This window comes from Homo sapiens, chromosome 1 (genome assembly GCF_000001405.40).
Source record: "Homo sapiens chromosome 1, GRCh38.p14 Primary Assembly".
Classification (NCBI taxonomy): Eukaryota; Metazoa; Chordata; class Mammalia; order Primates; family Hominidae; genus Homo; species Homo sapiens.
In genome coordinates this window covers 59,632,568-59,647,609 of record NC_000001.11, presented here as the reverse complement: position 1 = coordinate 59,647,609, position 15,042 = coordinate 59,632,568, and the positions used below count along the sequence as shown (strand labels likewise).

The 15,042-nt window shown below is 41.3% G+C and overlaps 1 protein-coding gene across 59 annotated transcripts in view; it reads right to left on the bottom strand.

Annotated features, from left to right (window-relative positions):
- The window catches only part of FGGY (FGGY carbohydrate kinase domain containing), a 466,353-nt gene that overhangs the window by 115,121 nt on the left and 336,190 nt on the right, over positions 1 to 15,042 (bottom strand). For 35 of the 59 annotated variants that reach the window (XM_011541731.2, XM_047424383.1, XM_011541730.2 and 32 more), the window contains 2 exons: positions 9,235 to 9,382; positions 6,259 to 6,330 (listed from right to left, as the gene is read on the bottom strand). The exons of 3 other annotated variants lie outside the window; for them this stretch is intronic. In XM_011541731.2, the coding sequence (XP_011540033.1) occupies positions 6,259 to 6,330; positions 9,235 to 9,382 (220 nt within the window). The remainder of the gene's footprint in view (positions 1 to 6,258; positions 6,331 to 9,234; positions 9,383 to 15,042) is intronic. 21 more of the 59 variants (NR_103473.2, XM_017001645.2, NM_001350793.2 and 18 more) reach the window with 1 other exon arrangement.

Below are 15,042 nucleotides of genomic sequence, written 5' to 3'. Positions count from 1 at the left end.
TTGAATGAGTGTGGAAGCAGATTTTTCCCAGAACCTTCCAATAAAACCTTTGATTTTGGCCTTGTGAACACTTTCTTTGGTTACGGAGGAACCAGTAGAACCAACCTAGATTTCTGACCTGAAGAACTGTAAGAGAATAAATTTAAGCCACTAGATTTGTGTAATTTATTATAGCAAGCAAAAATGATGGATGGACACTGCCCCTCATGACCTTACTCTATTGGTGAATTCTACACCACACAACACTACTTTGTTTGCTGTTTACCCAAAGGCCCTTCACACCTTGTTTGCCTTGCTTCTGAGGGTTTAAGTCTAAGCCATTTTGATATGCTCATATACTGTTTCTCGAAGCTGGTCTGTACAACTCTTCTGGCCCATACTTGCTGTTGTCTAACCCTGTCTTGGGTCTGCACACCAAGATTATACACAATGGACTCTATCCTTGGTCCTCTGGCCTTAGTTCCTTTGCATTGTTTATGTCTTGGACCTTCCCAGTAGATTCCACCTGATTCGCCCCTCAGTCTTTTATCATGCCACATGACCTTGGGAAACACTCCTGCCCATAGTCCATTCCCTGGTTTTACTTGTTGTTTAGTGTATATAGGAAAGATAAAGGAGCAGTAAGAAAGGAAAGTCTGATTCTGTGATAGAATTTAAAAAGTCATTAAAATGAAAAAGAAAGATGCCAGGCACATTAAAAACAAAGCAGAAGCAATGAAAACAACAGTAATGACAAAGATCTAGTTTTTTATTTTTCTTTTTCCCCAAAGAATGTCATTGACCCAGGTTTGAATTGACTGGTTCCCGTTCCACTTATACCCTTTTCTCCTCTGAGTAAGCTACTTAAACTCCTTGAGCCTCGGTTTCTCTCTTCTTTTAAATGGGACAACAACATTGTCTTGCACGGTTGTTGTGAAGGTTGTTGATGATACATGGAAAGCATCTACCATGGTGCCTGGTGCATCAGGTGCCTGAAAAATGGTACCTATTAAAAATCACAATACCAGCTGGCGAATTAGTCACTTCAGTAAAATATATATATTTTTTCAGTAAAATACATATTTTAAATAAAATATAAATATGTAAATTTATATATAAATATACAAATAAAAAATATGTATTTTCAGTAAAACATATATATATATTCAGTAAAATTTGTGACCAATTTGGAAAACACCAATTTGGTATTGTGATTATATATATATAATCAGAAAACCAGGTAAAGACACTGAGGATATTAAGCTTTGTTATAGGATTTGATTTTTCATAAGCAAAAATATGTAAAAAAAAAGTCCGAATAAATCAGTGTTAAATAACAGCAAAAACATCCACAAACTCATATCAAAGAGACCATGTGTTTCCAAAGCTTATAAATACATCATTTGAAAGCTACTTCAATTAGCTCATGAGCTTCCAGCTCTATCATCCATCTCCCTATCGGAAAAGCCACAGGGGTGCAACCTCTGCTCTCTATTGAGCTCTTGCAGATACCCTGAGTTGCTGACTCCTTCCACATCTGGATCTGTTTAGTGATGCCTACAGCTAGCTGGGATTCAGTCCCTTGGAAACTGGCTAAGATCTCCCAGTGCTTCCTCCCTGACTCTCTCCTGGTCTCCCACATACACACTATCTCTGTGTTTGCTTTGAAGAGTTGTTGGAGCAGCATTCAACCTCTCCAGCAGTTTGAGTAGCATACGCTCTGATGTTAGAAGTCACAGCTCTTCAAAGAAGCAGAAAATCACTTTTTGTTCTGGGTAGTTCTGTACTTTTAACATGAAGCAGAGAAAACATGTTTCAACCAATGATGAATAGGGTGCATTTGGTGTGTTTTCAGGGCCTGATATGTCTCCAAGGTCATTGCTTTGTTGAGTGGTTGAGTGGTTATTTCAGGAAAATAATTTTTAAAAATCCCAAACACCACAAAACAAAGGCCACGCCAATTTTTTGTGAATAGAAACTGCTCATATATACCAGACGGCAAGGACTCTTTGAAAATTCCTACAATGCTAGCTATTCCATAAGGTACACCACATTTGAGTTTCCTGTTGTATTGATGAGGAAACTGAGGGCCAAGGACTTGAACAAAGAAGATCAATCTCAAGAGCTGTATGAAACTTGCTTTCTGTGAGGACCAAGGGACTGGTGGGCTTCTCTGGCTGGTTGTTTGGGCTGGTGAGTCCAGTCAGTTCTGGGGCTAAAGTGGGAGGCCCACGGCTGGCTGCTCAGGGTTCAAAAGCCACACAGGATCCTACTGGCCATCTCGTAAAGATGCAAGTAAAGGCCACCAAGCAGGAGCTGCCAATTCAAGGGCATTGTTGTGCTGTCTGTCCATCGTGCCAACACCTACTGTCTGGCGCTGACAGTGACCCTGCAAAGAAGCCTGGGCCACTCCTGCTTCCTCATGAGCAGATCAGCTGCACAGAGTTAACCCGCCAAAGGTCATACACTGGTATATCTTCAAGACAAGTTCAAACATAAGTCCGATTTCAAAACCTGGGCCCTCTTTACTGCTTTGCAGTGGTAAAAACCATTCAACAAAACATTTAAAATAAAAATAACCACCAAAAAAATCCCTAAAACATGCAACTATTCCTGATGGTGAGTATTTATCTTCATCTATCTTTTTTTTTTTTTGAGATGGAGCCTCGCTGTCTTGCCAGGCTGGAATGCAGTGGCGTGATCTCAGCCCACGGCAACCTCTGCCTCCTGGGTTCAAGCGACTCTCCTGCCTCAGCCTCCTGAGTAGCTGGGACCATAGGTGTGTGCCACCACGCACAGCCAATTTTTTGTATTTTTAGTAGAGACGGGGTTTCACCATGTTGGCCAGGATGGTCTCAATCTCTTGACCTCGTGATCCACCCGCCTCGGCCTCCCAAAGTGCTGGGATTACAGGCGTGAGCCACCGCACCCGGCCTATATTCATCTACCTTTATGTGTGACCATGTCATTTTCTTACTTTAAAAGTAAGCATTTTTCTTTGGGTGGGGGGGGGCGTGTCTGTCTTGTTTTTAATGAACCTAAAATCATCAGCGCTTACTGTTTTGAGACCGACTGTTATTACTTAAGATTCTGCTTCTTTTAAATAATCGTATGTGTAGCCCTCACCTTTCTGTGCTTCATTTATCAACTGGAAAGGAGAAATGTTTACATAGTGGGGTACCTAGTCCAGCCATGCTATTAGGCTGCTCATCCCCCACCTCCTCCACCTCTCTTTAGTCCAGTGCTTCAGGCTGATATTGTATCATCAAAAGAAAAATGAAACAGCTAGTCACATGATAGGAGTCAACTGTTACCAGAACAAAAAGAAAATGATACTATCAAGCATAAGGAAGAGATTCCTGGGTTATGTCCTGTTCCTACTTACCAAGGTAGGCACCTAGTGTGGAAGGCATTAGAACCAGGTCAAACCACGAGTGGCTATTTTTTTTTAAATCTGAGTCAGTTAGGGTGGGAAGGAAACTAGTACCTTACTGAGAAGAGACAGGGTCAGAGTTTAAATCCAAAGACCATGGTTAGGGTAAAAGTGGGAGGACAAGCCACAAGGTTGGTGGTCAGAAGAACAGAAGAGCCAAGGACTAGCTTAAGGAACATGGTTCACTATGAAACCATGTATAATGCATGTTTAAACTCCCTTTCTTAATAGTCCTCCATGCGTTTTGCAAAGTCCAGAGTTTGCATCCTAAAAGGCAAGCGCTGCCACTTCTTGGCTTTGTGACTTTGGGCAGGTCACTGTTCATTCCTCATTTGGCAAACAGTGATTGAAATAACTGTTTGACCATAAGGCAATTATTTGGTGCCAGCTTCTGACCTAAGAACTGTTGATATTTTAAAAAGTAAATAAGCCATTGCTCCTATCCTCAAAATGTTTTTCCTATAGAGTAAATTTAAAACATATGTTATGTCTTATGACAGCCTTGATCTTATTTTCTTCAGTGAAAATTATACTCCCTATTGCTTTCAATGTAGGTTTTAATTCTTTGATTGCATTTTTAGTTGTCTTGTGGTCTTTGCCATTTCCCCCTTTTTCTCATTCCATTGTCCTTTCATCTTAACTTGTTCTTTCCTAATAAGTTTCTGGCCTATTTCATAGAGATATGCCTTGAAACAAAATTTCTGGCTGGGAACAGTGTTTCATGCCTATAATCTCAACACTTTGGGAGACTGAAGTGGGAAGACGGCTTGAGGCCAGCAGTTTGAGACCAGCCTTGGCAACAGAGTGAGACCCCATCTCTACAAAAAAATATTTTAAAAATTAGCTGGGCATGCTGACATGTGCCTGTGTAGTCTTAGCTACTTGGGAGGCTGAGATGGAAGGACTGCTTGAGCTCAGAAGTTCAAGGTTACAGTGGGTTCTGATTAGGCCACTGCACCACTGCATTCCAGTCTGAGTGACAAAGAGCAAGATCCTGTCTCTTAAAAAAAAATTAAAAATATTCCATTGAATATACCACAAAGTTCTCTAACATTTTCTTTTGGTTTCAGTAGTAAATAATTTTCAAGAGGGCTTTCCTTTAAGTGTTCACAATGGTATTTTTTTCTTTGTATGTAATGGTTTTTCTTTTTTTTTTTTTTTTTGAGATGGAGTCTCACTCTGTCACCCAGGCTAGAGTGCAGTGGCGTGATCTTGGCTCACTGCAAGCTCCACCCCCCAGGTTCTCGCCATTCTCCTGCCTCAGCCTCCCGAGTAGCTGGGACTACAGCCACCCGCCACCATGCCCGGCTAATTTTTTTGTACTTTTTTAAGTAGAGACAGGGTTTCACCATGTTAGCCAGGATGGTCTCGATCTCCTGACCTCGTGATCCATCCGCTTCGGCCTCCCAAAGTGTTGGGATTACAGGTGTGAGCCACCGCGTCCAGCCGTATGTAATGGTTTTTCTAAGGGGCCATTATTTTTCAACATTTACGCTAACTAGACAGGTACACATGTTCAGTATTTCCCAGCATACAGTACACATGATTTGCTCTTTTTTTTTTTTTTTTTTTGAGACGGAGTCTCGCTCTTGTCACCCAGGCTGGAGTGCAGTGGCACAATCTCAGCTCACTGCAACCTCCGCCTACCAGGTTCAAGCAATTCTCCTGCCTCAGCCTCCTGAGTAGCTGGGATTACAGGCGTCCACCACCACGCCCAGCTAATTTTTGTATTTTTAGTAGAAACGGGGTTTCACCATGTTGGTCAGGCTGGTCTCGAACCCCTGACCTCATGATCCAACTGGCTCGGCCTCCCAAAGTGCTGGGATTACAGGCGTGAGCCACCGCACACAGCCGTGATTTGCTCTTATCCCCACTCACTGTATACTTAAATTTGTCTCTTCAGATCTACAGCTAAATGCCAGTTGGCAGAGTACAGCAGTTTTTATTTTCTGTAGCTTTGTTGGACTGAGGTAGATCAGCACTGCCTGGCTTTCCGAGCCTAGAACTAGTAGTGCAAACTACACCCTTCCTCCCAAGTTTACAGAACTACTAAGGCCTTTCCTACATCTGCCCCATTAACAGATGCTTAGAATGCAAGCCATCACCCTTCCTCCTAATTCACACTTCCTGCTTGGGTGGATTCTTGAGCTGGCAGTTTTCAAATGGAATGAACTGAAAGAGTGGCTGGGAACAGGGTTGTGGGGGGATCTAGGAATTTAAACTCACTGGCTGCTTTCCAAAAAGAAAACAAAAAACCCAACCATTAGCAGTAAAGTAGAGGAATAGCTATGCTGTTTTCAGGTTTAAAAGAACCTTGTGCTTTTATGCAAGGGAGCAGAAGGTGGCGAGGTCCAAACTGTTTCCACAGTGGATCACACATGACTTTGTTCTTATGTCATATATGATGTTATCAAACAAGTTGCATTCATCATATAATTGGGAATACCAATTCTAGTTTTCCTAGTTGAACACCATCCTAATTCCTAAGGCCTGCATGAATTCATGACTTTTTTGCATTTTTACAAATATTTTCAAGAGAAGCAGAAAAAGGCTGCATCAGGGTTTGCTAGCCCAATGCCACATAAAAACAATTTCAAAGTCAGACATGTATTGAGCATCTCCTTCAGCTTGCACTGATTATTACAGAGATCACACTGTAAAATGATTATATACACACACATACACACATGTACAATAATTACCTCCCCTACTTTTATGTGAACTTAGGATAGGTACTTTTCTGTTTTCTTTGTATTACCTGGGTTTAGCACAGGCCTGCACATAGCAGGTATTCAATAAAAACACAGTGAATGGGTAAATGTTTAACAATGCAAGAAAAGAGTCACCTGAGGGGAGAGTAGAGAACTGGGAGAGTGCAACGCTGCCAAAGCCGGAATATACAGATATCCAGTGGTTCTCTGAGAAATCCGAGAAAATTTTCTTTTTTTATTATTAAGATAAAATGCTAAAGGCAATCTATCATTGGTTAGACAATGATACAAGGAGCCAAAATTGTAGACATTCACATGCCATGCTCTCTTCCCTCTAGAATACTGCACATACTATGATTCCCTTGGCCTCAAACCCCCTTCCCAGCTTCACTCAGTGTCAATGTTACTTCCTGTCTGGAGCTTTCCTGACCGCTGGGACCAGGTTGGGCAATCGTCTTCCATGCATCTGGAGAGCTCTGGACAGTGAAGGACATCTGGAGCTTAATACTATCTTTCCATTCCCTGTTTATATATTTTGTCTGCCTCCCAAAGATGGTGATATTCCTGAGGGCTGGGATTGTGTCTAGCTACTCTTATATCCCCCAACAACTGTAACAGGGCCTGTATTTGTTTGATGAATAAACAGTCTCATAATTATGATACAATTGGAGTTTATCTTCATTTACTTGGAAATTAATATTGGTATTAAATACTTACGATATGGATAGTCAGTGTCAGTAGCCACTTAATTCATTTGGTATTATTAAATTCTTCATATGTTTGTTTTATCTAAGGCAACAAATGACCTCTTTATTATCTCTATGTTGCCTATAAATTATAAATAAGCATATACTGAGCACTTACTCTGTGTCCAGGGAAACGTTTTAGGGGCCAAAAGAAGAAATTGTACATGGATCTTGCTTTATTGGAATTATCCTGCTAGTTCCTATTAACATTTTTTCAAGCACTCGCCCACTCCCAACTTTAAACATACTCCATGAAGGTAGGTATTGTTGCATCTTACTCATATCTACGGCAGTGCCTGGCATACAATAGGAACCCAATTAATATTTGCTGAATGAGTGCTGGAGATAGGCATCATCGTAGTTTCCAGCAAAAGGATATAACATAACAGAAGAATTTCAGGGTCATTATTTTGATGTTTTCCAAAACTGGACTGAAGGAAGGAGATTTGGGGTGAAGTGTTTAGCTCAGAATTGCTTTCCTTCTATCTTATTTAGGTCATCTTCTCCTTCCAGTGTTGTGATGCAAATTCATGGAGTGATAACTGTTCCATTGCAGCCTAACCCAAGGACAGTTATAAAGGGAATCATTGCCAAGAACTACCAAGTGATATATGAGGTATGTGAACAAACATACAACTTTTTAAAAAAGTAAACATACCCAGGATTTTTAGATACAACTGGGCATATGTCCCCATGTAAGAAGTTCCTTTTGGTGCATACATACTTATTCTCATGATATGAGAATTCTTCAGAACACTCCATTGATTTCTTTGGAATTTCATTCTGCATTTGGGTCAACTGTATTAGAATATCCTTCTGATGATAATTCTTAGGTCTTGGATGTCAGGATTGGTTTTAAAAAATGGATAAAAGCTACTGGGAGACATGAAGCCTGACATGCTGGGTACTGAATTTGGGTATGACAGACATTGGCTAGGGAAGGCTCCTAGGTCAGTTTTATCTAAAGCAACAAATGACCTCCAGAGCAATGACCATTTTACTATGCAACACTGCTTTGTTTTGGGGTCATTTAAAACACTGGTCAAGCTTCTTAACTGCTTCAACATTTTAAATATCTAGCTCTATTTGGCTTCAGATATTTGTCTCTAATTAAGACACTTATTTCTGTACCCATATGAAATGTGTTCTTCCCCTACCCCCTGTTTACAGAGAGAGTTGGTTATCTGAAAGTATGACTTTCTAGTTGCGGTCTGTTGCCACATGGCCCTCTCTGGACATTATTCTTCTGCCTCTATAAAAAAGGACACCAAGCTCATGATTTGTTGTGTAGGCATGCTTCATGGACTCCAGATCAACATAACCTTTGTCATGTCTAATTTTCTTTTCTTTTCACCATGACTCCCTTTTAGTAATAGAAGTTGATCATGTCAACTAGGTAATGAAAATAAATTTCAGGTCTTCCTGCTGGCATCATAAAAATATTTAAAACAATCTCAATAAAACTAACCACAAAATTGTAGTAGTTTGAGTCTTGAATTCTTGACTCCATCAGGCCTGCTCCACTGTTACGCGGCTTCCTTTGCATAAGCCTTGCCTTGTTTACAGCCTCCATTCTGAACTCTGCCTTAATGTACCTCACACTCACCTTCTCAGCTTCATGACATTTTCCTGGTTCCTGCATTCATGGCTTATTTTCTTATTTGTGGCCTCACCTGGCCCCTCCTCTACCTTTAACCTGCTTCATCACACCTCAAACATGATTCTCCTGGTGTCTAAGATGTTATTACTTTTATATCTCAACTGGGGTGGTTGAGAGTTCTCCCACCAAGTTCATCTGGCCCCTCTAGGAGAGCCTAGAATATCCACAGAGGAAGTGACCCTAAAGGGCACTAAGAGCAGGATTTATTTTCCAACATAAGTTATAAATTACATTTACTTATACCAAAGTTTAATCTGAAATCCTAACTATATTAGTGTAGAATCTGAACAGCCCTGACTCAGAGCCTAGGCAGATGTGTGGCTGTGGCCAGCAAGACCATGGGTGGTAATATTTACTACTGATTTACTGGGCAACCTAAAGATGCAGCTGGAAAATTTGACTTTACAAACTGATATAAATGCCAAAATTACATAGGCATGACTTTTAGCCACTCCACAGGACAAAGAGGCAGCAGTAGCTGAACTAGGAAATGCTGCTTTTAACGCTTTCAAGGTTGGCTCAGAAACAATGAAAACTTTCAGCAGCTCATCCCAGGGAGCAGCAACAGCAATGCATCTGCACAAAGCCAGAGGGCTGTTGGCCTGTTTTATTTTTTTCTTTTCCTTTTTCCTCACTTTGCTTCTTCCAAACTTTGTAGCCCTTTGGCCTGCCTTCACCCATGTGCAAGGACTAGCTGTTACTTACCATGCCCTTTAGTGTCAGATCTGCTAAGGGAGACCGGTTGCCATGGAAATCTGGCCAAACATGTAAATCAACAGTAAGGAAACCCACAGGCTGAGCCTTCTTAATCAGATCCAGGTGACTGTTCAAATATGCATATATACTCTGGCATCTGGAAGAGAAGTGAATTTTATTTTTAAAGGGGGGATAGGGTCAGGGAGCAAATCATTCTATAGAAAGAAACCATTTGTACTTCCAGATCCAGGAAAGTAAGCAGGCTCCTAAAAGCTTCAGAGAAGCTAGCCCACTGTACTCTCAAATCACACTGTACTATCACCAAGAAAGGTGCCACATCCTAGTAGAAAGGTTTGGAGTCAGAAGACTGGATCCAGGAATGGCTTTACTCTTAGTAGATGTATGGCCATGAGAAAGTTATTCAAACTTTCTGAACCACCCTCTTCTCATCTGTAAAAACAGATATCATAATCCCTGTCCAACTTACCTCATAGGGTTATTGTGAAGATCAAAGAAGATTATGTATGTGAAGGCGCAGTATTTTGTAAACTGTACAGTACTGGTCATATGTCAATAATTTATTAAAATCAGTATTCCTAATTGTAATAATGATGATGAGTTGATAAATGGAGAGAAATTATAAGTTCCCAGACTCAGGATAGGATTTTGCTAAGTAAAGTGACTGAATGTCATAAATGCAGTTAGGATCAGGAGTTAGAGACCTGATTTTCAACCTAAACCCACCAGATGACATTGTGTACGTTTTTTCTTTTTCTTTTTTTGAGATGGAGTTTCAGTCTTGTTGCCCAGGTGGGAGTGCAATGGTGCAATCTCGGCTCACTACAACCTCCGCCTCCCAGATTCAAGCGATTCTCCTGCCTCAGCCTCCCCACCCAGCTAATTTTTGTATTTTTAGTAGAGACGGGGTTTCACCATGTTAGCCAGGCTGGTCTCAAACCCCTGACCTCAGGTGATCCACACATCTCGGCCTCCCAAAGTGCTAGGATTACAGGTGTGAGCCACCTCGCCTGGTTTTTTTTCTCCTTTTTAAGTCTCAGTTTCTTCATGTGTAGAATGAGGGAGTCAAACCAACTCCTTCATTCTTTACATGTTCAGGTGAAGAGGAGGTGGAGAGAAGATGATGGGCATGAGAGCACTACTCAGTTCAAATCTTGATACTACCTCTCCTAGCTCGGTAAAATGGGCCAGTGACTTAACCTCTGACCTCCAATTTTCCCACTCATAAAATAGGTTTAATAACACCTACCTCACCGGGTTAAATCACACCACATGACACAAAGATGAAAGCTGGTCAACCTTCCCCTCTTAAAAGATGCTGCTTTCTAAAAGTTCTGAACCAATGATTTCAAAAGAAAGTGGATATTGCAGTAGTTGGCATCTGTGCTACTTCCCACTGGGGTCCTTGGAAGTCTCTTTAAAGGTTAAAAACATGGCTTGTATAATGGCAGAAAAAAAAGTATAGGAAATCAATATCCAAAGGAGGTTAATATCTAAGATACCTAAGGCATTATTTATGCTTTGCATTTTAAAAGTGTTTTAGAAGGAAGGCTCAGTGATTTCTAGTTCTAGTTTGTGATTGGGTGAGTGATCCCATGGATCCCATGAAGTTGCCAAAAGTTTCCTGTACTTGGTGTAGGGAAACAAACCAATGAGTAGAGCATTGATTTTTAAATTCTCTTTTTTTCCCCATTTACCAGTAGAACTCCTTTACTTATTTTTTATTTTATTTTATTTTTTTCTTTGAGATGGAATCTTGCTCTGTCACCAAGCTGGAGTGCAGTGACGCGATCTCGGCTCACTGCAAGCTCCGCCTCCCGGGTTCACGCCATTCTCCTGCCTCAGCCTCCCGAGTAGCTGGGACCACAGGCGTCCGCCACCACGCCTGGCTAATTTTTTTTGTATTTTTAGTATAGACGGGGCTTCACCGTGTTAGCCAGGATGGTCTCAATCTCCTGACCTCGTGATCTGCCCACCTCGGCCTCCCAAAGTGCTGGGATTACAGGCTTGAGCCACCACACCCGTCCAGTAGAACTCCTTTATTAAACAAAAATTGTATGTAAATATTCAATGTAAAAATATAGAAAAGCAAAGCTGCTCTGTGTGAGCATGAGTGAGTGTGTAAATGTGAATGCATGTATATGTGTGTGTGTGTGAGTGCGTGTGATGTGTACTAGGGTGGAGGTGAGGGCAGCCCAACCGCCCTACCTACCAGCAGTTTATTTGCTTCTTGCTGTAATAGCTCATTCTCATCTGCAAAAATCTTCTTCCTTAGATCTTATTAGGAGGAATAAGATATTACTGGGAAAAGGCTTAACAACTACAGTTAACACCAGTTGCCATTCCCTAAATGTACACCAGACCTTCCAACACTGCCCAGTTGGGGAGGTACCACTAACATACAGAGGAGATGCTTCAAGAGGTGAAGAGACAGGTCTGAGTCCAGCTTTAAACCCTTCTCCTTGTGATTCTGAAGCCATGGACTTTCTGTATCTTAGGTCAGAAATTATTTATCAAAGCCCTAAAAACACAAACCCTGTTTTAGAATGATTCTATTATGGCTTCAGGAAAGGATCCTCTGAAGCCTCCATACAAGGTACAGCCAGAACAACGTATCAGCGAACACGAATATGATAACCTCCTGGTTTTCCATCTCTTTGCTCTCTCTGCTCCTGGTCCAACAGGAATCACATTCACAAGAAAAGCCTTGAGAACATCTTTTCTAGCCAGAAGTCAAGAGTCTGCACTAATTCTTGCGACTTTCCACTTCAGAATAGCCACTGTTCTTAAAGTAAAGGGATTTTTTTTTTTTTTTTTGGAAACGCATGTCTATAAATCTTTTCATTCTGCCTCTCAAGGAATCTCTGAGCAGGGCATTTGGTTTCAGACATCTGGGTCAATAAGAACGTATAGGCCTAATTATTATTGATTCGTCATTGTCTCATTTACTGCAGGTCTTTGCAAACAGTGAGATTCATTTAGCCTCTACATATATGGCCACTCATGCACTAATGAGATCCCTGAGGGATGGGGCATATGCTTACCCCTTTGACTCCTAACCTCCTTGCAGCTGTATGTTTATTCTTTGAATGCAGCCATTCTCCTACATGTTTTTTCAATTATACCTTACCATGTGTGCTATCTGAGTATATCATTCAAAATGAAATGCACTTGGAAGACATTAAACTAACTAATACACATCATTATTCACATAATTTTAACCTTGCATGATGCCTTTTTTGGTTCTGACTTTGTGTCATTTTGCATGTTTTATCAGTTCCTTCTCAAATGGCAGCCTGCCTTCTTCTAGCTAGGGAATCACATATTAACTGTGATCCCAAGTGGATCGCTCACCCTCTCTCTCATGAACCCCAGGTTGATATATCCTGTCTCAAAAGGAGAAACTTTTGCTGTCCACATCCCACTGGGTATCATGAAGAAAATATAGTTTCAATAATCATAAAGTGACTTTACCACGTACCAGCTGGATGATCAGGTAGGCAAACCCTCTCTGAGCCTATTTGCTTTTTTGCTATTGGGGCTAATACTGTCTACTTAAAGGCTGCTATGAAGATTAAACATAGAGCCCTGAGCACTATAAAATGACAGGTTTATCAATAAATAGTTTCCTCTTCTTTGCCATCATAAGAAACTCATTTCTAGTTTTTTAAAAATCCAAGAATCAAAGAAGATTTTTTTTTTCGGACCTATTGCTTGTGATCTTAAATGCAGACAACATCCCTGAAATCTCTCATGTCCTCTCCCTCTCCATAAATCACCTAATTCTATGGGTTCACAGGCTGCCCAGAGAGTATGGTGGTCATACTCTTAAACCAAAAAATCAGAATACATGGTATAACAAAATATACTTGTGCCTTTTCTACCAACAAGAGAAAGTCTTAGAAAAGAAGCTTCCATATTGCCTGTCTCTAGTTCCTTACTTTTTCTTTTTCTTTTTTTCCAGACAGAGTCTTGCTCTGTCACTAGGCTGGAGTGCAGTGGTGTGATCTCAGCTCACTGCAACCTCTGCCTCCTGGGTTCAAGTGATTCTCCTGCCTCAGCCTCCCGAGTAGCTGGGACTACAGGCGTGTGCCACCATGCCCAGCTAAATTTTTTGTATTTTTAGTAGAGATGGGGTTTCACTATGTTGGCCAGGATGGTCTTGATCTCCTGACCTCGTGATCCGCCCGTCTCAGCCTCTCAAAGTGCTGGGATTATAGGTGTGAGCCACTGCAACCGGCCTAGTTCCTTACTTCTTAACCCAATACACTATGCATTCTGCCTGCTCCATTCTACTGAAACTGGTACTACCATGAGGAACAATACCCTCTTTGTTGTTAATGCCGATGAATCATTTTGGGCATTTTACATCATTTGACCACTCCTTCCTCATTTGTTCTCTTGTTTCTGAAACACTATTCTCTCTTGATTTTCCTCCCTCCTCTTTGGCTGTTTCTCCTTCTTCACTTGTTCATTAAACATATGACGTCTTCCAGAGATCTACTGTCTTTCACCATTTTCTTACTCTTTATCTCCTCTTGGATGATCCTAACCTCTTCTCATTGCTCCAGTTACCATCTAGTGCTGAGGACTTCCAAATATATGACCTTAACTCCTGTCCATTTCTTTCTTATGAGTTCCAGGTCAAGTATCCAACCACTCTTCAAATGCCTCCTCTTAGATGTCCAAAGACAACTCAACTAAGAATGTCCAATCAGGCTTTCTGTACTCTTTCCTGATTGGTTCTTCTACAATGCAACCTTGATTATTACTCCCACACCATCTAAAACCCTTCAGATGGACACAGCCTTCCAGACATGCTGGAATATACAGAAGATGGGGACAGGGCAAAGGAACAGGCATCTTATGACTTCCCTACACATGCCCCTATGCCACCAGGCACTGTGCTGAGCTACTGGTAACCAGTTGGGAGGTAGAAAATAAGAGGATTTATGTCCTAAATCAGCACAGACCCTTGGTCTTCTAGAGAAGACCCCAATGCCCTGAGCACTTTCTTTTATTTGCATGCAAAACAGAAACCAAAGAAACGTATAATAGGTCGGGCGCAGTGGCTCACACCTGTAATCTCAGCACTTTGGGAGGCCGAGGCGGGCAGACCACGAGGTCAGGAGATCGAGACCATCCTGGCTAACACGGTGAAACCCCGTCTCTACTAAAAATACAAAAAATTAGCCGGGCGCGGTGGCAGGCGCCTGTAGTCCCAGCTACTCAGGAGGCTGAGGCAGGAGAATGGTGTGAACCCGGGAGGCAGAGCTTGCAGTGAGCTGAGATAGTGCCACTGCACTCCAGCCTGGGTGAAAGTGCGAGACTCCGTCTCAAAAAAAAAGAAAAAAAAAAAAAAAAAGAAATGTATAATAATATCCAGCTAATTTCTGTAAGAAATCTTTCTGAACTCAGAGCCATCAAGAATTTACTGATTATCTTTGTATACCATGGGGGAATGAAAGGTGTTAATATTATCACACTGACTGTCCTAGCTCAGGGAAGGCTAAGTAAATATTCAGTGATAGACTCAACACCCCAGTTATCAGAATGACGGTCCAAGGTTTAAAAAGTCATAAAGGCTAAAAGGGGACTCTCAATACAAAAGAGCAGAATGGAAAGAGAGAAAAATTTTTAGAAGTGAAGTTTGAGAGCTCCCAATAATCCTCATTTCCTCATCTAGAATTAAATGAGATAATATACGTGAAACTATTATCACTAAGCACAGTGCCAAACATACTGCAGATTCTTAATAAATGTTATTGTCCTTTTTTTCCCTTTCTTTGCTTGAGGGGG